The 26,207-nt window shown below is 48.5% G+C and overlaps 1 long non-coding RNA gene across 5 annotated transcripts in view, besides 10 other annotated features; it reads right to left on the reverse strand.

Annotated features, from left to right (window-relative positions):
* Nucleotides 1-26,207, reverse strand: part of LINC00673 (long intergenic non-protein coding RNA 673) — a 189,483-nt gene that overhangs the window by 16,803 nt on the left and 146,473 nt on the right. The window contains exons 2-4 of one of the 5 annotated variants that reach the window (NR_137281.2): nucleotides 11,004-11,100; nucleotides 8,112-8,174; nucleotides 576-840 (exon numbers count right to left, since the gene is read on the reverse strand). This is a non-coding gene — a long non-coding RNA (long intergenic non-protein coding RNA 673). Of the gene's footprint in view, nucleotides 1-575; nucleotides 943-8,111; nucleotides 8,175-11,003; nucleotides 11,101-26,207 lie in introns of all 5 variants that reach the window. The other 4 variants (NR_137280.2, NR_152516.1, NR_036488.1 and 1 more) reach the window with 4 other exon arrangements.
* Nucleotides 823-2,022: an enhancer, noted in NCBI's record as "P300/CBP strongly-dependent group 1 enhancer chr17:70417088-70418287 (GRCh37/hg19 assembly coordinates)". NCBI's record gives its function as "activates an origin of replication core promoter dependent on BRD2, BRD4, P300/CBP, MED14 and CDK7 cofactors, with strong dependence on P300/CBP, by STARR-seq in HCT116 cells {active_cell/tissue: HCT116}" and the evidence as "EXISTENCE:reporter gene assay evidence [ECO:0000049][PMID:35650434]".
* Nucleotides 1,413-1,472: an enhancer, noted in NCBI's record as "active region_12670". NCBI's record gives its function as "activates an Ori minimal core promoter by ATAC-STARR-seq in GM12878 lymphoblastoid cells {active_cell/tissue: GM12878}" and the evidence as "EXISTENCE:reporter gene assay evidence [ECO:0000049][PMID:35858748]".
* Nucleotides 1,523-1,652: an enhancer, noted in NCBI's record as "active region_12671". NCBI's record gives its function as "activates an Ori minimal core promoter by ATAC-STARR-seq in GM12878 lymphoblastoid cells {active_cell/tissue: GM12878}" and the evidence as "EXISTENCE:reporter gene assay evidence [ECO:0000049][PMID:35858748]".
* Nucleotides 2,266-2,675: an enhancer, noted in NCBI's record as "active region_12672". NCBI's record gives its function as "activates an Ori minimal core promoter by ATAC-STARR-seq in GM12878 lymphoblastoid cells {active_cell/tissue: GM12878}" and the evidence as "EXISTENCE:reporter gene assay evidence [ECO:0000049][PMID:35858748]".
* Nucleotides 2,756-3,065: an enhancer, noted in NCBI's record as "active region_12673". NCBI's record gives its function as "activates an Ori minimal core promoter by ATAC-STARR-seq in GM12878 lymphoblastoid cells {active_cell/tissue: GM12878}" and the evidence as "EXISTENCE:reporter gene assay evidence [ECO:0000049][PMID:35858748]".
* Nucleotides 3,976-4,045: an enhancer, noted in NCBI's record as "active region_12674". NCBI's record gives its function as "activates an Ori minimal core promoter by ATAC-STARR-seq in GM12878 lymphoblastoid cells {active_cell/tissue: GM12878}" and the evidence as "EXISTENCE:reporter gene assay evidence [ECO:0000049][PMID:35858748]".
* Nucleotides 4,579-4,628: an enhancer, noted in NCBI's record as "active region_12675". NCBI's record gives its function as "activates an Ori minimal core promoter by ATAC-STARR-seq in GM12878 lymphoblastoid cells {active_cell/tissue: GM12878}" and the evidence as "EXISTENCE:reporter gene assay evidence [ECO:0000049][PMID:35858748]".
* Nucleotides 4,639-4,718: an enhancer, noted in NCBI's record as "active region_12676". NCBI's record gives its function as "activates an Ori minimal core promoter by ATAC-STARR-seq in GM12878 lymphoblastoid cells {active_cell/tissue: GM12878}" and the evidence as "EXISTENCE:reporter gene assay evidence [ECO:0000049][PMID:35858748]".
* Nucleotides 5,319-5,368: an enhancer, noted in NCBI's record as "active region_12677". NCBI's record gives its function as "activates an Ori minimal core promoter by ATAC-STARR-seq in GM12878 lymphoblastoid cells {active_cell/tissue: GM12878}" and the evidence as "EXISTENCE:reporter gene assay evidence [ECO:0000049][PMID:35858748]".
* Nucleotides 10,123-10,623: an enhancer, noted in NCBI's record as "H3K4me1 hESC enhancer chr17:70426388-70426888 (GRCh37/hg19 assembly coordinates)". NCBI's record gives its function as "activates a minimal SCP1, AML or CMV promoter by ChIP-STARR-seq in primed H9 embryonic stem cells {active_cell/tissue: H9 hESC(primed)}" and the evidence as "EXISTENCE:reporter gene assay evidence [ECO:0000049][PMID:30033119]".

Below are 26,207 nucleotides of genomic sequence, written 5' to 3' on the forward strand. Positions count from 1 at the left end.
TGGGTGGCCCTTAACCACTCCCAAAGCCCTGTCACATGCTCAGTGATCTCAGCCGGCCTCACATAAACCCTGTCAAGTAAGCAGGACAGGTGTTGTTATTATTCCCACTTTACAGATGGGGAAAACTCTGGGGGAGCAGTTCGATGGCTTGCTCAGGGCCACCCAGGGAGCACATGTCCCAATTCCTCCCATAGACTAGGCAGGCAAGTGGCATCGCCACTCCCTCTGTGCTGCCTGCCAGCACTTGAGGGTTTTACAAAGGTGGCAACAAATACCAGGGATGTCTCTTCCCCCTGGGCCCTGGGTCCCTTTTTGGACACTGGGGAGCCTGACTCACTAAAACTCCTGTGTCTTTCTGTTCAATCATCCTCCCTCCTCCTGCTTGACAGTTTGGAAGTGGAGGGGCAGGGCCCTGGCAGGAGTAGACATAGCTTGTGCCCAGGCTGAGCCTCCCCCAGGAGCAGTAAAACATGCCTTTTGGGATCTGAGAGGAGAAGCTGCCCATTCTGTACTTTTCCAGACGTGGAGAAAGAAAGGAGAAGGCAGAGCAGATTTGAACTCCTGGCTCAACTCACCAGCCCTGTAGAGGTCCTCAGAGATGAGCCTTGTATTTCACTAAGCAGCCCCAGGAAGCGGTTTGGGGGACTTCAGAGCAGAATGGAGCAAGAGGAACACTGCCCTTGTTGGGGGCCGGAAGTCGGTGGGGTGTGAGTTAGTGATCCTCAGGTCAAGGGCCTCCACGGGAGGATGGGACCCCTGGACCCACATAACCCACGCTTCCCAAAGGCCTTCACTGCAGATTCGACGGAGCCGCAGGAACCAGGACTCAGGAGGTGGCACCTGCAGGGCCGGGAGGAGAGGGACATGCAAATGAGGCCAGGCCATCCACAGCCCACTCCTCCTGGAAGCCCAGAGTCTGGCTGGCAACTTGAACCTGATCTTCTAAACAGGACAAAAAAAGAAAAAAAAGTTGTGATTTCCCCTGACCAACCCATTTCTTTTTCCCCCTTCCCCAACCCCTGTGGAATTTGCACCCTCAAGAGGCACCTGGGGAGCCACCAGCAACTAAGAGTTCAAGGGGCTCCTCTGCATTTGGGGTCAGGCAGAGAGGAGCCACAGCAAGGGAAGGTGAGTGGACAGTTGCAAGCTGTGAAAAGCCAAGTTGCCTCCAGGCATCTAGGCCTGCGTTTGGTTCCCATGACACTCTTACTGGCAGCGTTAATAACTAACCACGTCCCAGACAGGTGCTGGCGGCCTAGCCTTAGGAGTTCTTGTTCAGGGCTGGAAATGAGTCACTTCCCTTTTATAGTTTGCTAGGAGACTGAGTCACCCAGGGGCCGACCCTTTCACACAAGTTCTCACACCCTGGCCAACTAATATCCATGTTCATACCCTAGACCTACCCATCTACCAGGTCAGCCAGGCCCAGTGGGGCTGACCCTCATGGTCTATGTCAAACAGCATCCCCAGGAGTGACCCAGTCCCTGCCTTTTCCCTTTGTCCCCCTACTCTCTCAATGGAGATGGCCCACTCACTGTCCCAAGAGGCAGCTCCTGCCTGGGCAGCTGTCTGAGAAGGACAGAGTCTGACAGGTAGGCGCCCATGCCCAAGGCCCAGTTAGATCCACCTCATCTTTGACCTTACTCTAAACATTGCTCTCATACGTCCTCAATCCTCTGTTTGGAAACCAAAAACACCAGAAGTGGAAAGTTCCAGAGCTGATGAACTAAAGGACAAAACTGCGATGCAGCAAGTCAGCTTCAACCCTCTCGGGAAGGGCAGAGGCTGAAAGCAGGTAAACTGAGGCCTGTGACTGTTAATACACTCCCCTACTTCAGGAGTCAGGTGGGAGGCAGGAGAGGTAGGTCATCGAGTCCAAGGCTCTGAGCACCCACATTCGTCAGGTGGCTCTGGTGTCAGTCTCTCAGGACTAATCTCCTGATAGACAACAAATAAACATCATTAGAGAAAACAAGCTCATATGCATTTTTCAGTAACCCTTCTTTCCCCACTCTCGTATGGCCTCTCTTATGTTTGCCAGCAGGTGGGTACCCATGCCCAAGACCCAGTGACATCCATCTCACCTTTGACCTTTACCCTAAACATTGCTCTCATAACTCCTCAACCCAAGGGGTGCATTTGGTCTTTTTTAATTTAAAAAATTAATTTTTCTTAATTAAAAAAGAGTGTATGTAAGAGAAAAAGAAATAATGAAACTAAAAAACAGGAGGTTAAAAAAAAAAAAACCTCCCCGAAATAGTTTGGGGATTTACTTTTTTTTTTTTAATCCTCAGAAAGTCCCTCTTGCTACCTGGTTTCTAAAACAGACAATCAACAGAGATGACATCAGATTAAACAGCACTGGGTGTCTCACTGCCAGGGGCTCCAGGCAGGTGTGAGACTGACAGGTTGAGAAAAGATGACACTATTTCTTCCCTTAGAAGATGAAAACCAAGGAGGAGAAATGACAGCAGAGGCTGAGCCCCGGGTGTGGTGGGAAACGTGACACCCTGCCAGCCGTTGGCCTTTTGGGTGAACTCTGCTCGCTCCTCTGCATGGGACGACACTGCAACCCGGCGCTTGTTAGTTCCCCCATCTCTCAGGTATCACAGCCAAACTCACCCCAAGGGCTCAGAAAGCTCAGCCTGTGGCTGTCTCACCTCCACAGAGCCCCCTGGACTTTCCAAGCCTGCATTTTGAACTCTGTTGGCTGCGGCCGTGGCTTTCACTTGACCTCTGCAGAGAGAGAGGGGCTTTCCCTGGGACACACGTCTTGCACATAGCAGCTAAGAGCGCCAGCCAAGCTTCGTCGATAGCACCAAGGGTCCAGATGCCAGGAGAGAGACTCCACCCCCAGAGGTGGCTCAAGAGTCCAAGTGAGTCATGAGGTCTGACCAGCGACCATAATGTCCCAGGGTGAAGTGGGAGGCCTGGAGATGGAGCCCGCTGCAGGGACAGGAACCACAGTGACTCACAGTTGGACCCCGAGGGGAAGTTCCATCTGCAAATCCTCTAAATGGCTCTGGTCCCCGGGTGAGCTCATCTGCACTGCCGCTGACACTCAGAACCAGGACTGGCTTCTTTCTCCCAGGGCCCGGGTTTTTCACTCTCAATTATGGTTATGGCAGAAACCAACATTCGAGCCGCAGCACCTCTCCCCTACCCGCCACACACACACACACACACACGATGGATGGACCTGGGGAGACAGCGTGTCCTCCTGGAGCGTCAGAGTTTTCACCTTTAAAAACAGTCCTTCCTCCTAATGATCTCACCACAGAAGCTCTTGGAGCTATATGGTAGGGAATGTGACAGTTCTTTAAAAGGAAGTATGTGAAATCCACACAAGGCAGTAACATTGTAATATCACTGTTTAAAACTTTGGCTCCAGGGACCTGGCCATGAGGCTACCATCTTGCTCCATCTCCCTGGGCCATTGGTCTGGGAGCGGAAGAATGCAAGGCATTGGGGAGGAAAGTGTCCATGTTGCCCAGGAGCCTGGCGGGATCACTCAGAAACACACTCAACCTTGGGAGAAACACACAGGTAAAGACCCCACCACTCCCATTGCCCTTTCCTGCTCTAAGCGCTTCCAGCAGACTGCAATATGTCCACAATTCTAAGGCTTTATCAGGTAGAAGGGGGTTCTGGCGTGGCCCCCAGCTAGCTCTCCACCGTGTGCATGAACAGCAAGGTCCCCCAACCAAGGGCACCAGGCATTCATTTCCCTTATAGGTTCTGTTTTCAGGTTACGTGCAATCACGGGACAGCTGCTAATCACCACCAAGACGGGGCCGTCCCAGAAGCATTCTTAGAAAGACACGCTGGTTCTGCGAGCTCTGAAGCACCCTTAGCCTGTCCTGCCTGGAGGATCATTGTGGCTGCAGGACGAGAAAGACAAGAGGAAAGACGGCCGACCCATTCATTCCTGCCGTTGTCAAGTTGTCCTTTCTTGGAGGGAGGAGGAAGACGGGAGGGTGCTAAGAGGCTGCGAGACAACAAGGGGACCCCTCAAAGAGCATCAGGGAGACCACGAAGAATGATCTCAAGCAGTATTAGCTGCTCCATGGCATGATAATGTCCCTGTTGGGTGTTCCCTGCACTCTGTACCCCTCATACCCTAACTTCATCAGAACAGGAGGAAGGGGGCATTTGCTGTCTCTCTCTTCCTACCCATCTTCCCCACTCCCTTTCATTTCTTTTTTTTTTTTTTTTTTTTTTTTTTTTTTACTGCTGGGGCTGCAATCTGCCAGTGTGAACCCTGGTGGCTCTGCAGGCAGCAGGGTGAGGAGAGTGACCCTCATATGAAGCCACGACCCCAATGCAAGAGGCTATCCTGAATCTGGGAGTCACGGTTGTTCAGAATCAGTCCCTGAGATGTGGCACCGTGGCGTTTGACATTATCACCACCATCGATGTCATTCTATGGTAACGTATGTGTGCCATTGTGTGCCTGGGACACAAACAGGCACTTTCGATACCCCTCCTGCTTGGACCCTTCCCCTGCCATCCCCTCCTCCCACTGGCCGCCCTGTTGCTCTCAGCTTCCCTGTAAAGAGGCCTTTTTCACAATGAGTCGGATCACAGCATGCTTTGCTCAAAACCCTGCCTGGCTCCCAGGTCCCTCAGAGGGAAGGCCCAAGGCCTCTGGGCCTGACCTGGTCTGACGGTCACCGCCCCTCTCGGCGCTCAGCACTTACTGAGCTTGATTCTCAAGCACACCATATACTCCTGCCTGCTTTGGGCCCCAATGTACCTGCTCCCTCTGTCCCAAAGGCTCTTCCCCAAAACATCCTCCTACAAGTCTGTGCTCAAATGTCACCTTCTCCATTCAGCCCTACAACCTGCCCTCCACCTCTCTCCCTGCACTGCACACTGGAGCTGCCTTTCCTGCCTCTGTGTTTTTTTTTTCGATAACACTATCACCTCCTTACATACTAGATAATTTACATACTAACTATTTTTTACTGTTTAGCCTGCCCCACCTTGACAGCCAGTGTGGATGCAGGACAGGAAAGACAAAAGAGGAATGATGGCTGACCCAATGCTTCTCATCTTTCCTGGCCCCATGATGTGGTTTGGCTCTGTCCCTACCCAAATCTCATCTTGAATTGTAGCTCCTATAATTCCCAGTGTTGTGGGAGAGACCTGGTGGGAGTTAATTGAATCATGGGGACAGTTTCCCCCATCCTGTTCTCATGGTAGTGAATAAGCCTCACGAGATCTGAAGGTTTTATAAGGGGAAATCCCTTTTGCTTGGTTCTCATTCTCTATTGCCTGCCCCCACATAAGACATGCCTTTCACCTTCCGCCATGATTGTGAGGCCTCCCCAGCCACGCGGAGGAGGTATGTCTGTATCAGCAGACATATGTCTCAGGTATGTCTGTATCAGCAGCATGAAAATGGACTAATATACCCCATTAGAAGCCAAGCTCCATGCCAGCAGGACAGAGCCTGTTTTGTTCAGTGTCTGTTCTCTGCCTAGAGCAGTGCCAGCAGTCCCGTAAATATCTATTAGATGAGTGAATGAATGAATGAACCGATCGATGAACAAGTGAAGGGTGGAATTACTGCCACTCATGGGGAGGGGGCTATGCATCTCATGGAATGAGCTGGTCTTCAGGGTGGGGTTCCCTGGGGAGTGGGGGAGAGGGCTGGCAAAGGCAGAAGGTGCTGCTTCCAGAAAGGCAGTGCCCGAAGTTTGCCTGGAAATCCCCTTGGCATCACTCATTAACTAACCCCCACCCCAATACACATCCAAACCCAAACAGTAGCTGAAGAGTAACTTCAACCATAGACTCTCTTTCCAGGCCCACGCTCCCACCGGTGAGTGCATGTAGTCATCTGGGCACCTACCGTGTGCTCCTTGGATCCCAGGATGAGCAGTGAAGAAAGGATGGCGGGGGATGAAAGAGATCCCCTCCCACCCTCATCCCACTCTCAAGGCTCTAGCTGGAAGGCAGAGGCAACACTGCAGATGAAGTTCTGAAAGTGAGATGGTGGGCAGGTAAAGGAGCTGCCAGCCCCATGGTGCCATGGCTGTGGGGTTTTAAGCAGGTGAGGTACACAGATGGTGACACAGGGAGGGGGTGTGCTGAGCACAGTGGCAGGGTACAGTCAAGTCCAGTCTTGGGGTGGGATACAGACCAGGTGAGCTGGGCTGAAAGGATCCAAATGTGAGTGGGAAGTGATGGGAAGTGAGGTGGAGCGTCCAGTGAGATTTGGTTGCTGGGACAATAAACAGAGAGCCATGATGGGTTTTTTCAAATAAGAAAATGCCATGTCCAATGCTGGATTTCAGAAAGAGGCTTAGGGAAGATACCAATAGGATTACTTTGGGGAGGAAAGACTTGGAATCCAAAGGCTGGGGCCCCTTGTGGTTATCCCAGCTTGTTCTACAAAAGCCGACACGAGAGGGGTGACTCGGAGAAGGGAGGGAAAGGATCAAATGGAAAATTGCTGTGGAGTCATTGTCAGGACTTAGTATTCTAGTGAATGGGGGAGTTAAAACCAATGTCCACCTTCCTTCTACTTGAGCCATGTGGAATATGATAAAGATAAATAAGGAAGGGAACTAATAGGCATCTGCTGTGACCTAGACTTTGGATTTGGTTATTTCATTCAATTCTCAGTCTCCCCTGAGGACAGGGTATTAGCATCAGCATCTTATAGATGAGGAAATTGAGGCTTTGTAATTTACCCAAGATCATATCCAGAGCTAGGGAGATTGTAAAACACAGAAGAAAACCACTGACATTCATTGTAAATGCATAATACATCCCAGGCACTTAACTGTATATTCTTTCATTTCACTTCAAAACATAGAAGAGATTATTTTTATGATCTCCATTTTATAAATGTGGAAAGCATAGTCCAGAAAAGTGAAGGTCACCAGCCCCAGGTCACAAAGCAAAGACACAGTGGAAATGGAATTTGAACCCAGGGCATCTGGGTCCACACTCTACCACTACACTAGCCTGATAGTGACAAATTTGCAACATAATCTGTCTAGTTCCAAAAATGTGTTTGCATTGTACAGCAACTCAAGCAGTATTAGCTGCTCCATGGCATGATAATGTCCCCACTGGGTGTTCCCTGCACTCTGTACCCCTCATGCCCTAACAGCATCAGAACAGGAGGAAGGGGGCATTTGCTCTCTCTCCCTCTCTCCTCCTACCCATTTTCCCCACTCCCTTTCTTTTCTTTTCTTTTTTTTTTTTTTTTGCTGCTGGGCCTGCTATCTGCCATTATGACCCCTGGTGGCTCTGCAGGCAGCGGGGACAACCCTCTCCCAGGCTTCATACTAGTAGAGATGATCTGTTGCTTAGTACTTACGACTGAGACTTACACCCAGTGCTGTAACTGCTGTGGATGGTGGAATCTAGACAGCCCTGGGCAAACCCAGCCCTTGCAGTAGGAGAGCGGCCCCTTGTTCCACATCCTGTTTTATTGGGAGCAGACTTCAGTCGGCAGCATGCCAGAAAGCCCTGATATCCCATTTAACCCCATGGACAGTCTCTGCGCTCCTGAAGGCCAGCAGGTGCAATCCACCTGTTTATCTCCTGGACCCGCAGGCTTTGAGTCACCTGCTTCATGTTCTCCCTGCAAACTGCGAGACCTCTGTGCCCTGCAGTAGACTCGGCGTGTTCAGGGCAGGTAGCAGGAGCTGTTGCATGGTGCCCCGGGGAGCTGGGAAAATTCATGGTCACTCAAAACAGCAATAGATCCCAGCAACAGTCTAGGCCTGGCTCCCTCACTAGTTAACTGTGTGACCTTGGGCGAGTGACCAAACTTCAGTCTCCCCATCTGTAGGTTGGGCATAACAGGACCTGACTGCTAGAGTTGTGAGAGGTGAAAATGAGTTGATTCAACTAAAAGCCAGGAGCACACAGCCTGGCCTGAATTAATTGTGATGACTGTTTGTACTTATTAACCCCTGTCTGTGGGGCTCTCCGATGGCTAACTGCAAAGCTCCTGCCTGCCAACTGCTGCTCTGAGCTGGGGGCATTAGGGATGTCTGGGCAAAGGGTTGCACTGAAGAAGGAGCAAACCTCAAAGCAAGAAGAGCCACAGGCAGGCAGCTGTACTATAACTGCCAAGTGCAACTCACCTCTTTCTTGTCCTTTCCTGGTTCAAAGCACCCACCGAGTCAGCCAGAAACCTCTGATTCCACCTAGAAAAATAAGGGAAGAGTTACACCAGGAAGCAAGATAATGAAACTCATCTTGAAGCTTAAACGTGGACGGAGTGGTTCCTCAGTGCCAGACAGCTCCCCGCAAGCACATAGGAGTTTAATAGCTGTTTATTCTTCCATATAGACTAAAACTACATTCATCAGAAAAAGGGGAGTAATTCATTTCCTATCCCAATTATGGATATAGCAGACTGAAGAATATTTTCAAAGAAATACAGTTTATTATGATCACAAACTTGACCTAGAGTAAACTAAGATGTAAATGGATATTTACACTGGATAGTAATTGTTTTCAAGTTATAAAAATACTTAAGTTTACAATGGACATTTACTACAAAACAACCTAATGCCACAGTGCCAAGTTGTTCTGTTTTTATTGGGTCTTTTACTCCTATGATCCTATTTCTAAATGTTTATATGTTCTAATTTGTGATATGTCTGAATTCACTGAATGGGATGACATATGAGGAACATCTAGTGCCATGTCTGGTCCCTATTAAGCGCTCAATAAACATCAGCTATACTATTATTAATTACACATTCCTGTTGTGGGTTTCTCTTTCATTCCACCCATATAGTTCCTGAACAAACGTACACAGATATCAGCATACTTGCTGCTGCTAAAATAGATATTTAATCTTTAAACCCAACCTCTGTTCAATCTAATTCAGACACCAGGAAGAGTAGTATTTCAAAAGGTGTTTAAAGATAATAGCCCCGTTCTACCTTTCCCCATCATTAGGCTCAAAGAAATCACTCTAGACCCTTAGGTTGGCAAATGAAAACAGAGAGAAGAAAGAAAAAAGGGAAAAAGAATACCATCAGATTTGAAACAGAAAACTTGTAACCTTCACACACAAGAGAAAGGATTGTCTCTGGCTGGTGTTTGTTCTTTTGCTGGGTGTACATTATACATGATCACTCCGGTGGTTTCTGAGTTACTGAGGACAGGATTGGGCTGGCACCCTGTGGCCAACTCCATCAACCAGCACCTACCACCAGATCAGATGGGAGGTCCCCTTGGGCTCCAGCACCCCCACAGCCCACAGCAGCAATACATGTTTGCTGGGCCTGCCTCCCACTACCACACCCATGAACTTAACCCAGGACCAACCTCCAATGCACAGGCTCTTGACTGCAGGGCAAAGGAGGTTGACAGTTTTAGTCCCAATGAATCATGCAACACTTGGGACCTAACTGGCCGATGCTGGACCTAACCTGCAAATGCTAGAAAACTCACCACAACAGAGCAAGCAAAACTCCACAAGACCCACCAACTCCAACCCCCGCATCTGGAACGGGTTCCTGTTTCTACTTTATACAGAGCCACCCCCATGCGCAACCCATTTTCAGTTTGTTACTAGGTAGGAAGCATCCAATAAACTCATTCAAGCTAAAGCCCAGCTGAATGGACATAGCTTCAGTGTTACCCCTCCATGGGGGATGTGCATTTTATCCTGACTCAGTCTTAACTCTTCACCCTGTCCCCGTGAAGCCTCAATTCTGCCAATTTAATAATGGCAGAGATTGGGGAGAGAGAGCAGTGGGACACTGGAGAGGGATCTTTTTGAAATCCTACAGTGGGGAGTAGGTGAAAGAGGGGAGGCAGAGGCTTACAGTGGAGGCTCTCAGACCTGGCTACTCATGGAAATCCCTGCCCCCTCCCCTGGGCAGCTGGAAAATCATTCTGAAGCCTGAGCCCCACCCCCAGAGGTTCTGATTGCTACAGGTGAGGCCTGGGCACTAGGATTTTTTTTTTTTTTTTTACGTTCCCCAGGTAAGTTTAATAAGTAGCAGACTCTGAGGATCATCTGGCCGTCTTGCTGAAATTTGCATTCGGGGGGTCTGGGGTGGCAGCCTGAGATTCTGCCTTTCTAAAATGCTCTTGGATGAACCCAGCACTGGGGGTCCTCAGAACACTCTGAGTTGCAGGGACTTAGAGGTATCCCCTCTTGCCCTCCTATGCCCCCAAGGAACCTCAGGCAAGCTGACCACATCCCTACCTCCAGCCACAGCTTTCTCCTCTGGGGTGGAAAACTCTTTTCCAGGAGGCCCCAGAGACATGCCCAGTTGACTTCTCGAGTGCCAACTGGGTAAGAGACATTACTCATGTCCCAAGAGACAGCTGCCCCCTTTCCCCTTTCCTGTAATCCTGTTCCAAGCAGTCCACCTTGTACCCTGAAGTGCACCTGGATCACTGCATTCAGCACAATGGTTTGTTTCTGCTCTGGTCCTTAAAGGGAGTAGGGGTCTCTTGCCTGCTGGCTTTTTGCATTGGCAGGATGATCAGGGCCACCAAGACACAAGGCCGCCCAGGGAGCCTGACTCTGTCCGGGGCCCACTGGCCTTGGCATCTGCCCTGTGAAGCCCTTCCGTGGCTTCACACACACCTCCCCACCACGTAGCACTGCCCTCACTGTCCTCACCGCGGACAGCGGTGGGACAGGGAGTGGATGGCACTCCCTCGGAAAGAGGCCAACAGCAGCATGCCACGCCCGACTCCAAACCTCTGAGGGAGGCCACAGACTGCAACTGGCTACCCACAACCTGCCCCCAAGGGTCCCTCCCTGCCTTCTGCACCCCCGGCCCCACCCCTCCCGGTTCCTTCCAGACATTCCCGGGGATGCCTGGAGCCATACACCACCTAGTGGTTCCCAGCTCAACACCAGCAATAAGGCACCTCCAACCAAGATAGAAGAGCCCTCTCCTCCAGGACACCTTAGACTGAGGAAACAAGAAATAAAAGGCCCAGCAGGTGAGGCCACAAGGAGACATTAGGCTGGAATACGTCCAGTCCCACAAACTCACCACGTTCTCCAAAAAGTGCACCAGGAAGGCAGGAGGCCGTGCTGGAAAAGGCGGCCACACGTTACAGGAGAAGACCAGGGTGGAGAGGGAAAAATACCTGGAACGGGAAATGGGATGTCAACACTTTATGAGCTAGAGCCCCCTCTTTGGCCAGAATAAGAGTTGCAGGTTGGGGGAATTTTGGACATTCTTGATGGGTCCAAAATCAAAGCGGAGTGATTTCAACAAAACATGCCAAGTAGTCAAGAAGCCAAACCACTGGGTCCAACTTCTAGAAACCTACCCAAGGCCAACACATCCACTGGGCCCCCAATACTTTTAGGGGGCCCAAGAAAATGTTCTAATTCCTTTGAAAACAAGAATGAATACAATGACGGTAATATGAATGCCTAGATAACAATGAATCCAGCCTGGATTCTATTCATCCTTGTATCACTGTAATTGTAAAATACAATTTTTTTTTTTTTTTTTTTTTTGAGATGGAGTCTCACTCTGTCCCCCAGGCTGGAGTGCAATGGCGCGATCTCAGCTCACTGCAACCTCCACCTTCCAGGTTCAAGCGATTCTCCTGCCTCAGCCACCCAAGCAGCTGGCACAAGCCACCACACCTGGTTAAGTTTTGTACTTTTAGTAAAGATGGGGTTTCACCATGTTGACCAGGCTGGTCTCAAACTCCTGATCTCATGTGATCCACCTGACTTGGCCTCTCAAAGTGCTGGGATTACAGGCATGAGCCACTGCGCCCGGCCGTAAAATACAATTTTTAATGTTTTATTTTTATGGAGGAAGGGGCCTAGGAAGACAAAAGTGCCAAAGATCATGAACATCACCATTTGGTTCGGAGTTTACCTACTTTTTTTCCAGTCTCCAAATTTGTCAGCCTTTACTGAAACCCCTTGTTGAAAGCTCTTTCTGGGAGACCCCCACTTGAGCCAGGGGACCCATCCCCACCTGCCTCCCATAGGTACATCCTTTTTACTCTGGGCTCTACTGAAAGTTTTCTGACCCACTCCAGGCAAGTTCATCCGAGGCCCCGGCACCCTGGGCCTGTTTCTGGCCAGGCAGAAGCTCCAACAGCTGCCACCCCCGCCTGTGTGTGAGAAGTGCAGTCTGGCAGGACGGAGCAGCAACTCTGAAGTCCAAACACACACACTCAGCCCCCTGCAGCATAAACACGGAGGATACATCACACCCAGGCCTATAAAAGATAATTACACAATCTGATCTGGCAAATTAGTGCCGCAGAATGTCTAATTCTCACAATGAATTCCAGGGTTGGATCGGCAGGAAAAATTAACCTGGATCTTTATTGGGATTTGCCCCCAGGTCAGGATTAGGGTTTATTTATCTCCTTTATTTTCCTGCTGCAGGAGGGTGGAAGGCCTTCTCTCCTGCCCGCCCCTCCCCACTGTATCCAGGCTTGGCTTTTCGATAAGCAAGCTGCCCGGTGATCTTTCCCACGCACTACCTAACCCAGCTCAGCTAAAATCAAAGAAAGCACCAACTAGGAGATACGTGTGATTTTTTTTTCATAAGGAAGAGAAGGTCAGGCATCCCATATCAAGGGATTCACTAGTTGGAACAAACTCAATACAAGGTAAACAAAAGAATGAACATTTCCAGATGGCAATGTACCTCCTAATTATTCTGGCCCGGCTCTGAAATGTTTACTTGGAGAACACTCACATATACACATTTCTCCAAACACCTTTTTCTTTCTTTCTCTCTTTCATTTGCTCTCCCTTTCCAAGGAGTCTTTCCAGAGGAGATAGTGATTAACAGGAGTCGGTACTCATCTCCTATGCTCATTAAAGAGCTAGATCACCAAAGTATTGTTACCGCAACACCAAGACAAGTTGACACCAAGCAAGGATTATCTTTCATCTAACAAAAACAAACCTGATGGCAGGCCGGCAAGTTTTCTCCTCTCTTTTTCTATCTTCCTGGGGGTTTCCCCTGCGGAAGATCATTCCCTACCCAAACTCCCAAGTCAGCCCTGCAATGACCACACACCCAGAGCTTGAAAGACAAGACTCCAGTCAATATAGAGGGTTAGCATTCACACTTTTAGCCTACAGAAAATGTGAGTCTGTCAGATAAATGAGGCAAGCTTCCCTGCATCTAATACCCATGTGATCTGCTCACAAAATTCTTAAAAAGTGCCTCTCTCTGAGACTGACCTGGGTGAAAGAGAAACTGTGCTTTTCTAGGCTTAACGGTGGAGGGTTACAGTATTTTGCTCTGGCGTGGGCACCAAACTCCTCCACTTTGGGTTAAGGTTTATCATATGTGGGAACCTCACCTAAAAAAACATATATACACGGGCAGAGGTGTGTATGTGTGTGTGCTCACGTGTGTGCATATATATATATATATTATATTTATATTTATATTTATATAATTTTATATATATATTTTTTTTTCAAGGACAATGACTTTATGGAAAAACAAACCAGTTCTAAACAACTGCCTCTGACTTAAAGCAATGAAAATGTTGTTTTCTTGTGCCTCACCCAGAGGGATTCTAGGTGACCCAGTGAGAGGTGGTGGAGAGAGAGACTAGAACGTGCAAACTTATCATCAGCTGGAGTGCAATCTTTGTAGAGTTCTAGCCAAATCGCAAACTCCAGTTCCAAATTGGGTGAGACAAGTGTGCACTTTTTGGAAGGAGATAAACACCCACTCCGTGCAGGCTACATTGAGGAGTCTCATAAGGAGCTGAGAGATAGCAAAGAAAAATATCCCTCTTCCTGAATGGTGAACACAGTGATGCCAGCTTCATTCTGAACAGCCATCCATTCTAGGTATGAATAGAGGCCATGGATGAGGAGCAAAAGAATGCCAAGCAGTCAGTAAAAATGCTGTAGACACAAGGAAAACACAATCTCAGCATATTATTAAATGATCAAAATCATGTCATACATGCATGGGTTCTAGAGGCAGAGAGTTGCAAACTAAAATCTTAGTCTAGACATTTTTTTTTTTTTTTTTGAGACAGAGTTTTGTTCTTGTTGCCCACACTGGAGTTCAATGGCGCAACCTCAGCTCACTGCAACCTCCGCCTCCCAGGTTCAAGTGATTCTCCTGCCTCAGCCTTCGGAGTAGCTGGGATTACGGGTGTCCACCACCACGCCCAGCTAATTTTTTGTATTTTTAGTAGAGACGGGGTTTCGCCATGTTGGCCAAGCTGGTCTCGAACTCCTGACCTCAGGTGATCCACCCGCCTTGGCCTCCCAAAGTGCTGGGATTACAGGTGTGAGCCACCGCGCCCAGCTTAGTCTAGACACCTTCTGGGTGTCCATTTTCTCAACCGAAAACTGGGGATAGCTGTAGTGACTACTTCTTGCCCCTTATAAACCCTCTACAACCATAATTGTTATTTTAATTTGAGGATGTAAAACAGGACTATGCTTTTTTCTATATTGCTTATTTCTATATATATAATTAATTCTAAATTAAACTGTGTATTCACCTGCTTTGCATATTTCCTGCACCATAGCAAGTAATCCATAAATGTTAGCTATTGCTAATACTGTAAAAAAAAAAAATTATAGAATTGCATGGGTTATAAAAACAAACTTGGAAGAAGGAAGCAAAAGGTTAACATTAGTTATCTCTGGGTAGTCAGTTTAAGACTTATTTGTTTTCCTATTTTTACATGTCTAAAATAAACAGGCATTGTTTGGTGAAGACAAAAGTGTCATGGTATTTAAAAGATAATAAAAATAAGATGGACATTCATTGTTTTGAACTAGAAATAAAACTATTAAGTGTACTTAAAAAAAAAACAGTAAAAATAGAAGCTACAGACTTGTTTGCTAAATCAGAAATGGCTTAGAAATCAAGGATAAAAAGTACCCCCAATAGGGTACTCTTGGGACCACTGACATGACCCAAAGTGAGACAAGAGCCAGACACACCCAGATGGCAAGTTCTGCTGTCAGTTACAGGGATGGGAGGACAGCTCTTTCCACTGAATGATACAGTCAATACTGGCTTGAATGTGAACCTGACTGAGAATCCTAACCCAGCTGACAGGCTGCAGGCCACAGGGTTGAACAGACCTGCTCTGTGGCATTTCCCAAATACCTGTGCCATTATAGACAGACGGTTCTCACAACACCCGCCTTTCGGTTCAGGACCTACAGCCCCTTGCACTTCCCCACGCCTGTTACACAAGCCCAGGCTGGGAGCAGAGGGCGAGCTCCACGACAGCCTGCAGAGGCCATGCCAGAAATATGGGGTCTGCAGCCCCACATGAGCCCAGGAAAGCAAGAGTAGACTTGATCCTCAGAGTCCATCTTCCAACTCTCCAGGCCTCCCAAGAAGGTGGGAATGCAGGTGACAAGGGGGCCTCGCTCAAGTGCCCAGAGCTCAGACGCTCCCCCCTACTTTCTTGGCTCCCCTTCTTCCTCCCAGGTCCAGCACAAAGGGGAACCCGAGGCACAGTCCTCAGCCCATCCTAATTCCTGTTGCTTGCCCTCTTCCTTGAAGACGTCCCAAACCCCTGTTTCGGACCTTTTTCCTAAAGCCCCATTTTGCCAAATGCCTACAGGGCAGGCTGATGACTGATTCCAGCCAGGATCTCAAATTCACTACATCCAAACAAATCTCCATATATCCTGAACCAGGCTCCTCTCAATACCTCCCCATTTCAGGGAACTGAACCTTACTCTCTTGGTCACCCAGATGGGATGCCCTCCCCTCCCATAAAGCTCATCACTGGATCCAAGCACCTCTGTTAATGCTGTTCATGATCCAACTTCTCTTATATTCCTATGACCATGAGAATGGCTAATCTCAGGTCTAGGATATTCCCATAATAATAATGTCATGTATTTGTCTATTATGTCTCTTCTTTCATTCCTTCCTTCCTTCCTTTCTTGCTTGCTTCCTTCTCCGCCGCCCCCACCCCCCAACTCCTTCTGTCGCTTTCTTTCATTTTTATTTTTGAGACAGAGTCTTGCTCTGCCACCCAGGCTGGAGTACAGTGGCCTGACATGGCTCACTGCAGCCTCAACCTTGTAGGCTCAAGCAACCCTTATGCCTCAGCCTCCCAAGTAGCTGGGACTGCAGACCTGCACCATCAGGCTCAGCTAATTTTTAAATATTTTGTGGAGATGGCGTCTCCCTATTTTTCCCAGGCTGGTCTTAAACTCTTGGCTTGAGCCATCCTCCCACCTAAGCCTCCCACAGGGCTAGGAATACAGGTGTGAGCCACCGCACCTGGACTCATCTCTTTACATATGTTCCTTTACTTAATTTCCTTGACAATCCTCCCTCATCTTGCATCATTTCTTGCCCTGTACACTGCTCTTCCATTCACTATCTCTATTTCCATGCTGGAAATCTCCAAGATCTTTGATACCTCAGGGTCTTTGCACTTGCTGTTTCCTTAACCTGAAACATTTTGCTTAACTTTCAAAGTCTCCACTCAGGCCGCACTTCAGAGCCTAATCTGAAATCATATTTGTTTATTTCATTTTGGTTTGTGTCTCTGCCCACAAGATTGTTAAGATCCTTGAGTGCAGATAGCTTGTCTGTTTTATTCTCCATTTTATAATCAGCACCTGAAACGGGCCCTTTTAGGGTTGAACGAATGAATGAACACGAGCATCCCTAGATGCAAGATACGGCAAGGAGGTACAGGAAGATTTAAAACTGGCTCAAGGTCCTATGGCTGGTAAGTGGCTGTGTCAACCTTTGCACCAAGGTTCTCTTTGCACAGGGGTAAAGCTGTGAGTGACCTTCTACTGTTAAAGCAACTCCCCATGTGGCTCCTTGATTTCAGACTTGCCTCTTCTGGTCCCTTCTACGGAGTTTTCCCAGCTGCTCATTCTAAAACACCAATTAGTTCTGCCAATCTCTGCTCAGTAGTTGTCAAGGGCTCCCTACTGCCTTCCATGTACAGACCCAACCTCTCTGCCTGAAATGAGAGGCCATCTGTACTCTGACCCCTTCTCTTTCCTCTCCAGCCTTGTTTGTAAGATGTCCCTATAGTCATCTTATCTCATATCTACCCCCCCCCACACACTAAAGCTCACTGCTCCCCACCACCTGTAACACCTTCCCCGCTTTGCCTCTCTGCAATACGTTCCCTTGAAGCCCACCCCCAAGTCCCACCACCCACAGAAAGCCTCCTGATTTTCTGGCCCTTGGTGAAGGCTCATACTTGAGCCTTAGGGTTCACTGCCTATGTCCCACGCTTAGCAGTAAGCATAAGATAATGGGGGACCAGGCGTGGTGGCTCATGCCTGTAATCCCAGCACTTTGGGAGGACGAGGTGGGTAGAATGCCTGAGCTCAGGAGTTCGAGACCAGCCTGGGCAACATGGTGAAACCCCGTCTCTACTAAACTACTAAAAAATTAGCCAGGTGTGGTGGCGTGTGTGCCTGTAGTCCCAGCTACTCCCGAGGCTGAAGCACAAGAATCACTTGAACCCTGGGGGCGGAGGTTGCAGTGAGTTGAGATCGCACCACTGCACTCCAGCCTGGACGACAGAGCAAGACTCTGCCTCCAAAATAATAATAATAATAAGATAATGGGAAAAAGGCTATCCATCCTCTTGCTCCAAAAAGACCTTAAATTCCTTTAGGGTGGGTAATAGACCTCATGTGTTTGAATTCCTAGAGCCTAGCACAGTGCACAACTCATTCGTACGAGTAGCCCTGGTTAACTGAGAGCAAGCTATGCCCCTCGCTCTGTGGTCTGTGGTCCTCCACCAACCTGTACAGACAACCTCCGCAACGGCAGAGCTCTCTGGAGACTGCTAAACTAGAAGGGCTGGACTTTCTGCTCTTGGTGGCTTGTCCATCCCTCCAGTCTTTCCCAATCCACCTCCATCTGGAGCTGCTAATGACTGTCCAAGTTTCAGCTCTCTCCTGGGTCTTCCTAGAGCAGAGTAGTCACTAACTTGAACTTAAAGATGGAGCCCAACCCACTGTGCTTAAAAAAAAAGAAAATCAAAAGTTTATGAGCCCATCGGGGGTTTCCTCCTTTAAAATCACTTCTTTGCCCCTAGGGATACCCATTGAATACGGTGTCCGTACCCATTAGCAAAGCAGAGGCCACAGAGGCCGAGCATCCCCTGGCAGGGATCATGATGTCACTGTGGTTGAACGCTGCTCCCAGCCTGTGAAGGCGGAACCACAGAAGGTGTCCTAGGCCCAGGTCCACCAACCTCACGCCAAGCCTTAGCCCCTATGTCTCGGTTTCACCATGTTTAAATGGAAAATAAAATGCTCCACTCAAAAACACTTTTCCAATGATATTTTAAGGAAAAATGAGATCACAGAAAATTAGGGAGGTAAGTTTAAATGGTGTGACCCCAAGCAACTTTTTTTTTTTTTTTTTTCAAAGAATCCCAAGAGGCTTGTTCACCAGAATGGTGGGAGGGGTGGGGAAGAACATTGGGGAAGATTGTAAGCCCCAGAGACCACCTGCACAGCAGCAACACTTACGCTAACGTGAAATGCTCACAATGCTATAAAAGCCCACACCTATTGCAAACAGCTCTGTCCTCCCCGGTCCTCATGCGCAACCGGACCCTGAAGTCCTTAGGTTTGTAAAAGCTGCCGACCGGCCAGGTCAACATCTGTCCCTGCCAGAGATACCAAATGTTTCCTAAACCCACCTCAAGCCCAGCTCACTAAGCTATGAATAGTTATTAATGTTAACTCACGGCATTAATTAAAAAACGTTCAGCCAGGCAAATTCTCATACTTTTAAAAAGTCATTTGGGTAATTGCCTTTCCATGCCGCAAACTTTCCAAACGACTGACAGGTTGACATTTCACAATGTTGTTTGTTTTAATCAAGAAGGGGGGGAAAGTCAGTGTGGTTCCCCAGTTCATTTTTCAGGTGCCTTGATTTATTGATTGGCAAATCCCCACTTAATAGCTGTACAGCGAGGCTGGGGATGAATGTGGCTCCCGCCACCCTGGGTTGGTGTCTGGGCTGGTGAGGAGGGAAATGGCTTCAGGGCAGTGCCCCAGCCCTTCCTCCCCCTTCTCTTGAGTTTTAACACCCCCCCCAGGGACCAAGGCCACACTGCATGACTCCCAACCCTTATTTCAGAGGCTCACCCTCCCTACCAGACAAGGGCAACTTCCTGAACCAACACCGAAGGCGGTGGTGCTGGTTCAGCAGACTCAGGATTTGGGGGCAGAGTGGACTAAACCCTTGGTGGTTTTCCAACCTAGTTCTTCAAAGCAGCAGAGCTCAGAGTCAAGCCAGTTCTGTGAGTATGAATCCCGCCTCCACTGTTTATCATCCTTGGACAAATGCCTTAATTCCTCTGTGCCTCAGTTTCCTCATCTGTCAAAATGGATATAATAATAGTATCTACCTATAAGTCCGTTCTGAGGGTGAAATCAATTAATATTTGTAATGCACTTGATATGGTTTGGCTGTGTCCCCACGCAAATCTCAATTTGAATTGTATCTCCCAGAATTCCCAAGTGTTGTGGGAGGGACCCAGGGGGAGGTAATTGAATCATGGGGCCAGTCTTTCCCGTGCAATCTCATGATAGTGAATAAGTCTCACGTGATCTAATGGGTTTATCAGGGGTTTCCACTTTTGTCTCTTCCTCATTTTCTCTAGCCACCACCATGTAAGAAGTGCCTTTTGCCTCCCGCCATGATTCTGAGGCCTCCCCGGCCGTGTGGAACTGTAAGTCCAATTGAACCTCTTTTTCTTCCCAGGCTCTGGTATGTCTTTATCAGCAACGTGAAAACGAACTAATACAGCACTTCAAACAGTATCTGCAGTAAAATAAATGCTGTGTTTGTGTGGGTTTAAAAACCTCCCTCGTCCCTCACAAACTCTAATCCAGGAACCCAACAGTCAACTGACAACAGACTTGGATGTGCCCTGGCTGACGTGAGCAGGACAGGCTGGACCTCACCCATTGCTCTGGTGCCCTGTTTCCCCAGGGCGCCACTGACGCCTCTCCAAGGCCCAGCCAGTCCTAGAGCACACGGTTTGAAAGCCACTGCTTATTCTAAGGACTGACCATCTTCAGCTTTCTACTGGACACACACACGCCTGCCCATGGCAAGAAGTCTTTTATGGAAAGCCAAACGCATTCTCCTGGAAAGGCCACATGGAGCACTCCAGGCTCCCTCTCCAGGTGTCCCCCCACCCCCTGTGTCTGGCGGCAAATGGCTAATGACAGATGGGCAGCCGGAGGAGGCCTGAGGTTTTCATGGAGGCTCACACTCACCCCCCCAGCGCATCACCACCGGGAGAACACTGCAGCCAAGCAGCCTAATGGAAACAGACAGCAGCAACCACACAGCCCTTAGGGAAGAAGGAGTTTTCTTAAGGAAAAAAAAATCACTAAGCCCTCAGGCAACCGTATAACAACAAAAGACAAGAAACTAGTGAGCAAAGACCTCTCTCTACAATCACCAGCACACCATAAGGTATTTCAGTATTGATGGAACGCCTACTATGTGCCAGGGATTAGACCAGGCACCGGAAATGCAAAGAAGAGACGGGAGCTTCCAGGCTTTCCAGAGTGGAAATCTACTAAGAAAGATGATACCAACTAACACTTATATTTTGTGATATGGATTATCTATGTTTGTGTATATTATATATAATGTATACATTAATATACAGAATACGCTCCATGTGCACACTGAGGCTGGGGGAGAAGGTGGCTCCCACCTCCCTGGGTTATCGGGGCAGGGGCGTCTGAGCTGGTGAGGAAGGAAATGGCCACAGGGTCATTTGCCAAAGGGTTAACTTGGAAAGAAAGCTGTTGGGTATGTCTGAGTATGAATGGCAACTCTGGTATTCTCTAGCTGTGCCATCTTGGACACCGAGGTTTTTATAGCTTTTTAAGGCATGCACACCACCAGGCAGGCAGATAATAAGTGATCAGTTAATCACCAAGGACAGAAAATGAGGAAGCCTGGCAGAGGTGGTATGTGAATGAGGCCACAGGGAGGTAGTTGGCTGTGCTCAAAGTCAGACGAGTAAGTGAGAGGAGCTCCCAGGAGTGCAGGGGTCGCGTGGCCTCGGGCCTGCATTTACACTGCTTTATCATCTCCATTGGCAAGATCTGAACCATCCTTCCTCCTCCTTCCTGTCTCTCTGGGGTGTCTGGAGGTACAGAAGAACCAAGTTGGGGGGCGGTGGTCAAGGGATGGGGAGAGGTTGAAGATCTTCGATTGCAGAAGGAAAGCCAGCTAGGAGGTAAAAGGATGATTCTTTTCCTTGTGGAAGCCATGTATGGGCAATGGTTGAAGGCGTCTTTGGGTTTATCAGAAAATCCTAACAGAAAAGAAATGATTTACCAGGTAAGAATATGCAGATATTCTGAAATACTAAACGGAAATCCTAAAGCCCCATAATATGACACTTTCTTTGCCAGGCTCGGCTGACGTTAAAGCCTCGTGCTGTGACCAGGAGCCTGATGGGAAGGTTGTTTAGCTGGGCTCTCCTAATCCCAAGGCCACCCCAGAGCACAGGACGACGGGCCCCTCTTGGAACCAGGCAACCGGGGGAACCCAGGCCTGCTCCTCGTGTCACCCCACTGGCTTCTGTGCTGTGGTGGGACTGTGGTTTTCAGAAAGTTACTTAAACCCAAGGTCTGAGATAAAGACAGCGATGGGAGCCTCAGTCATCCCATTCCAGGCTTCCGACATGGGACCTGTCAGTACCCCTGCACACCTGCTAGCCCAACAGACATGATTAACCAGGGAGGAAGGCAGGGAGGAAGAAGGTGGGGAGCAAAGCAAAAGAGGTCTGACCCTCCTCCCGAAAGTCTCAGAAACTCCAAACATGTGGTTAAACAGCCTCTTGAGGAGGAGTATCACTTTGCACACTATGGCATGTGTATAAAGGAGCAAAGAATAAACACATGCCTTGCCTCCAAGGGCTTACAGTCAAATGCAGAAACTCAGCATAGCCCAACTCCACAGTGCACATATACAGGCTGTAGAATCATGCATGAAACCAAGACACGTGCAAGCAAAGTTTTACGAATGTACACAAGTCAAGGTTCAAGTTTATAACTGAGGAGGCGGAGATTGGGTATGCTAACTGCCTTAAATGTTTCAGAAAAAAAAAATAGGTAGAATTTCAAATTAATGTAGGCATCAGTTCAAGCTTAGGACTATTGGTTTCCAGTATCATTTAGTATACATTCAACTCTTTCTACCGGGCTGTTCAGAGATCCACATCGTCTGCCTCCAACTCTCATGGCTTGTAAGTTTCTAGCTGGGTTTGTATTACAAGAACTTGTAGGCCTATGTTTCTGTTTCTGTTAAGATGGGTGCCTCTTGAAGGCATGGTCCAGAACTAAGTATCTTTTTCTGTTGTGAGATGAATGTAAAACATTTCAGAGTTTCACCTTAAGAAATCCCATTCCAGCCGGGCTCCGTGGTTCACACCTGTAATCCCAGCACTTTGGGAGGCCGAGGTGGGTGGATCACCTGAGGTCAGGAGTTCAAGACCAGCCTGGCCAACATGGTGAAACCCCGTCTCTATGAAAAATACAAAAAATTAGCTGGGCGTGGTGGTGGGTGCCTATAATCCCAGCTACTCAGGAGGCTGAGGCAGGAGAATCGCTTGAACCTGGGAGGCAGAAGTTGCAGTGAACTGATATCGCGCCATTGCACTCCAGCTTGGGCAAAAAGAGCGAAACTCCATCTCAAAAAAAATAAAAAAAAAAGAAAAGAAACCTCACTTCCCAAAATATCCTCCATTTAGTATAGGGATGGAGATTATTCCAGCATCTTGTATGTAGAAAGATGTAGAAGAGTCCAATTCTGCCAGGCCGTTTCCAATAAATAACGGGCAAAACTTCACATCATGTGGTCAAGAGATTGTTGAGAGAACTGAAGGCTGTAACTTTGACCACTAAATGGCTTAGGAGCCTCAGATAGACACTTGCCTTATTTACATCTTTACAAATTGTATACGTTGGATATTTGTACCTTGGGTTTTGTGTGTGTGTGTGTGTGTGTGTGTGTGTGTGTGTCTATGGTTACGTAGGATCAGTGAAATATGGGTGCCCAACTTTGGGGTAAAGGAAAGCCTTGGGGTGGAAGCAAAGCCAAGCCTAAAACTCCCAGCCCAGCCATTATTCTCTAGACCTCAGGGCCTGCAAGATTCATACTGTCCTCCCAAAAAATGTCCTGGGCCTCTTGTGTAGACATTCATACCAACTAGGCCCTTCAACCAGAAGATACTTAGAGAAGACTCCAAAGTTCCCAACCTCTAGGCATTTGAGAATTCATAACCAAAACCAGGCTCTCAGTTTAAAGCGATACTGTGATGAGTGACAAAACACGTGAGCCTTTTGAGCCCATCTGCAGAAAGTGTCCACTTGACACGGTCACACAATGAGTAGCCTCTGAGGTGCCCGGGGCCACCTCTCACCCAGGCAACAGCAGAAGGAACTGGGGACTTATACTAACACCAAATCAGAACCTACTACTTTCAGACACTGCCAAGAAGCAGAAGACCGCAATTTATTGGTTAAGAAAAATACTGCCATAATTAATTATTCATCTCTGCCAATAACAATAACAACCAATAGTGAGAACACATGATCCTATTTGCATTTCTTTTCTCCATCTAAAATAAATTTACCAATAAAAATTTAAAAATAAATAAGGCCAGGCACGCTTGCTCACACCTGTAATCTCAGCAATTTGGGAGGCAGAGGTGGGAGGACTGCTTGAGGCCAGGAGTTCAATACCAGCCTGGTCAACATAGGAAGACCCTGTCTCTACCTTATTTCTTTTTTATTTTTTGAGACAGAGTCTCGCTCTGTTGTCCAGGCTGGAGTGCAGTGGTGTGATCTTGGCTCACTGCAAACTCTGCCTCCTGGGTTCAAGCTATTCTCCTGCCTCAGCCTCCCGAGTAGCTGGGATTAGAGGTGCGTACCACCTACACCCGGCTAATTTTTGTATTTTTAGTAGAGATGGGGTTTCACCATATTGGCCAGGCTGATCTCAAACTGGCTGGTCTCGAACTCCTGACCTCGTGATTTGCCCGCCTCAGCCTCTCAAAGTGCTGGGATTACAGGCGTGAGCCACCACGCCCAGCCTCTACCTTTTTTACAAATGAAAAATAAAAATAAATAAATACTCCATAATCCCACAGCTCTGAGCATGCTGTAAGTCTGAGAGGTAAATAATCAGGTTTCAATGTTAAATGTCAATCCCCTTTCATCCTCCTTTCCCTAGAAGCAGCCAAGTATAAATCAGAGTCGCAGGGATGTAGGAATCCAAAATGCAGAACTTCCCAACAGCAGTTGGGGTTTAATTTGCCACACATCTCCCACTCTGGAGGTATTAACTCAAATCCTGATGGGGCATCGATGGCGTGGCCGATGCTATGTTGGGAGCTAGGGCTTCGCCTCTGCCTGTGTGGTGTGTATTCCAGAGGGACACAGGTCAAAACAAGTAAACACAAACATTCAGTTATAAATCATGAAGTTTCTGCAAAGTAGAATGATATGGGGGTGGGAACAGCATCACAGCAACTGCAAAGGCCCCTCCAAGAAAATGACATGAAGCAGATGCCTGACACAGATACAGTCAGCTGCATGAATGAACCTAGGGAGCTGCGTGCTGGCTGCACCCCAGGCAGAACTGGGGTGGACCCCAGCTCCAAAGCCGCACCGTAGAAAGCGGAAATTCTGAAAATGTTTTAAAAAAATAATTAGACTCGGGAGAACACAAGACCCATGAGGATACAGGCTGGGGAACACTCCTTTTTACAAACTGCAGGCATGACCTCGAGGTAAGGTGAGAAACACAGAGAGCCCTGGAGAGCAGTCCTTGTTCTAGCACCTTCCACCGAGCTCAGTAACACGACAGTACATTTTGAAGCAAAGGGAAAAATCATGAGATGTTGCCTTTACCAGATAACTCATCTTGCTAAGGCACCTTTACCCCTCGTGGTCTTGAGGGTTCTGGGAAGGCATTGATGAGGACCTCCAGTACGTCCACCCAGCATTTTATTATCATAAGTGCGAAGCTTGGTTACAATTTTACAAAATAAAATGAAGGCTTCCTGATTCCTAGTCCCTAGTTGGGATAACCTCCCCAAAGCAAGCCTGGAAAATCCCTGGGCGGCCAGGTCACTGGGGCTCAAAGTCCTCCTCCTCCCCGCCCCACCCACCCATGGAAAAGTACTGGCATCTCAGCGGCTGGGTTTCTTCCAGGAGGCCCTGCTGGGGATGTGTCAGTGCCCCCAACCCGAAGCCCACAGGGAAATCTCACCCCACTGGGTTGAGCCCCAACCTCCCACTCTGGCCCCATTGGTTTCACACCCTTGAACAATCCTGCCCAAATAACCTAGCAGCTAAGTGTGGCCAGGGGCCAGGAAAAAAGCCCTGAAAAGCAGTGAGCTCTTCAGATCCGAGAGCTCACAGCTTGGCTGGGACGCTGCCCACTGTGGAAAATGGAACGTGAAGATCTGGTACAGTGAGGGTGGTGGGGGAGGGAAGCCCTGACCCCACCCAGCCTGCGTAAGAGCAGAGGGTCAACTTCCCAGGGTATCTGGAAAGCTCTGGCAAGGGTGGGCAGAGGTGGGTGGCGATGGGGCCGGCGGACACACGGCCTCGTGCTTTTCATGCGATGACACACCTGACTGGCCAGGCACACCTGGACGTCGGGGCAGGCCAAGCTTTCCAACAGTCACTCACTGTTCCTTGAGTGGAGAGGCCTGGCAGCCACGCTCCTCACAGACAGGGGGGTTTTTCTCCTTCTTGGTAGGCCACGCCTCCCCCGGGCACATACTGCCTCTGTCCGAGGGTTTCGTCCAAGCCCTGGGCTCTGACCACAAAAAGCGCCCTTTTCTTTGGCGGGCTCACCTCAGACGTGAGGTACCAGAGAGCCAAACCGTCTGCTAAAAGGACATCCCCAGCACATTTCTCCCTAGGCAGAGGGTCTGTGGCTGGCGGCCACAAACAGCACATCCTCCCTCCATCCTGGGGCCTTACAGAATTGCCCCTTGGTTCCTGCTATATTCATGGCAGAAGGACAGTAAACTAAAGGAGCTCTTGGCTTGCTCGGGGTGCTCCCGTCTGACCCAAAGCAAACTGGGTAAATCCCTGGTAAAAACCAAGTTGTTGAACACAGGGCTTCAGGTCTTGGCCCATTCGGTGTGGCCATTCCCACTCCAATGTCTCTGTGAAAATGCAAAAATAAATAAATAAATAAATAAATAAATAAATA

This window comes from Homo sapiens, chromosome 17 (genome assembly GCF_000001405.40).
Source record: "Homo sapiens chromosome 17, GRCh38.p14 Primary Assembly".
Lineage (NCBI taxonomy): Eukaryota > Metazoa > Chordata > Mammalia > Primates > Hominidae > Homo > Homo sapiens.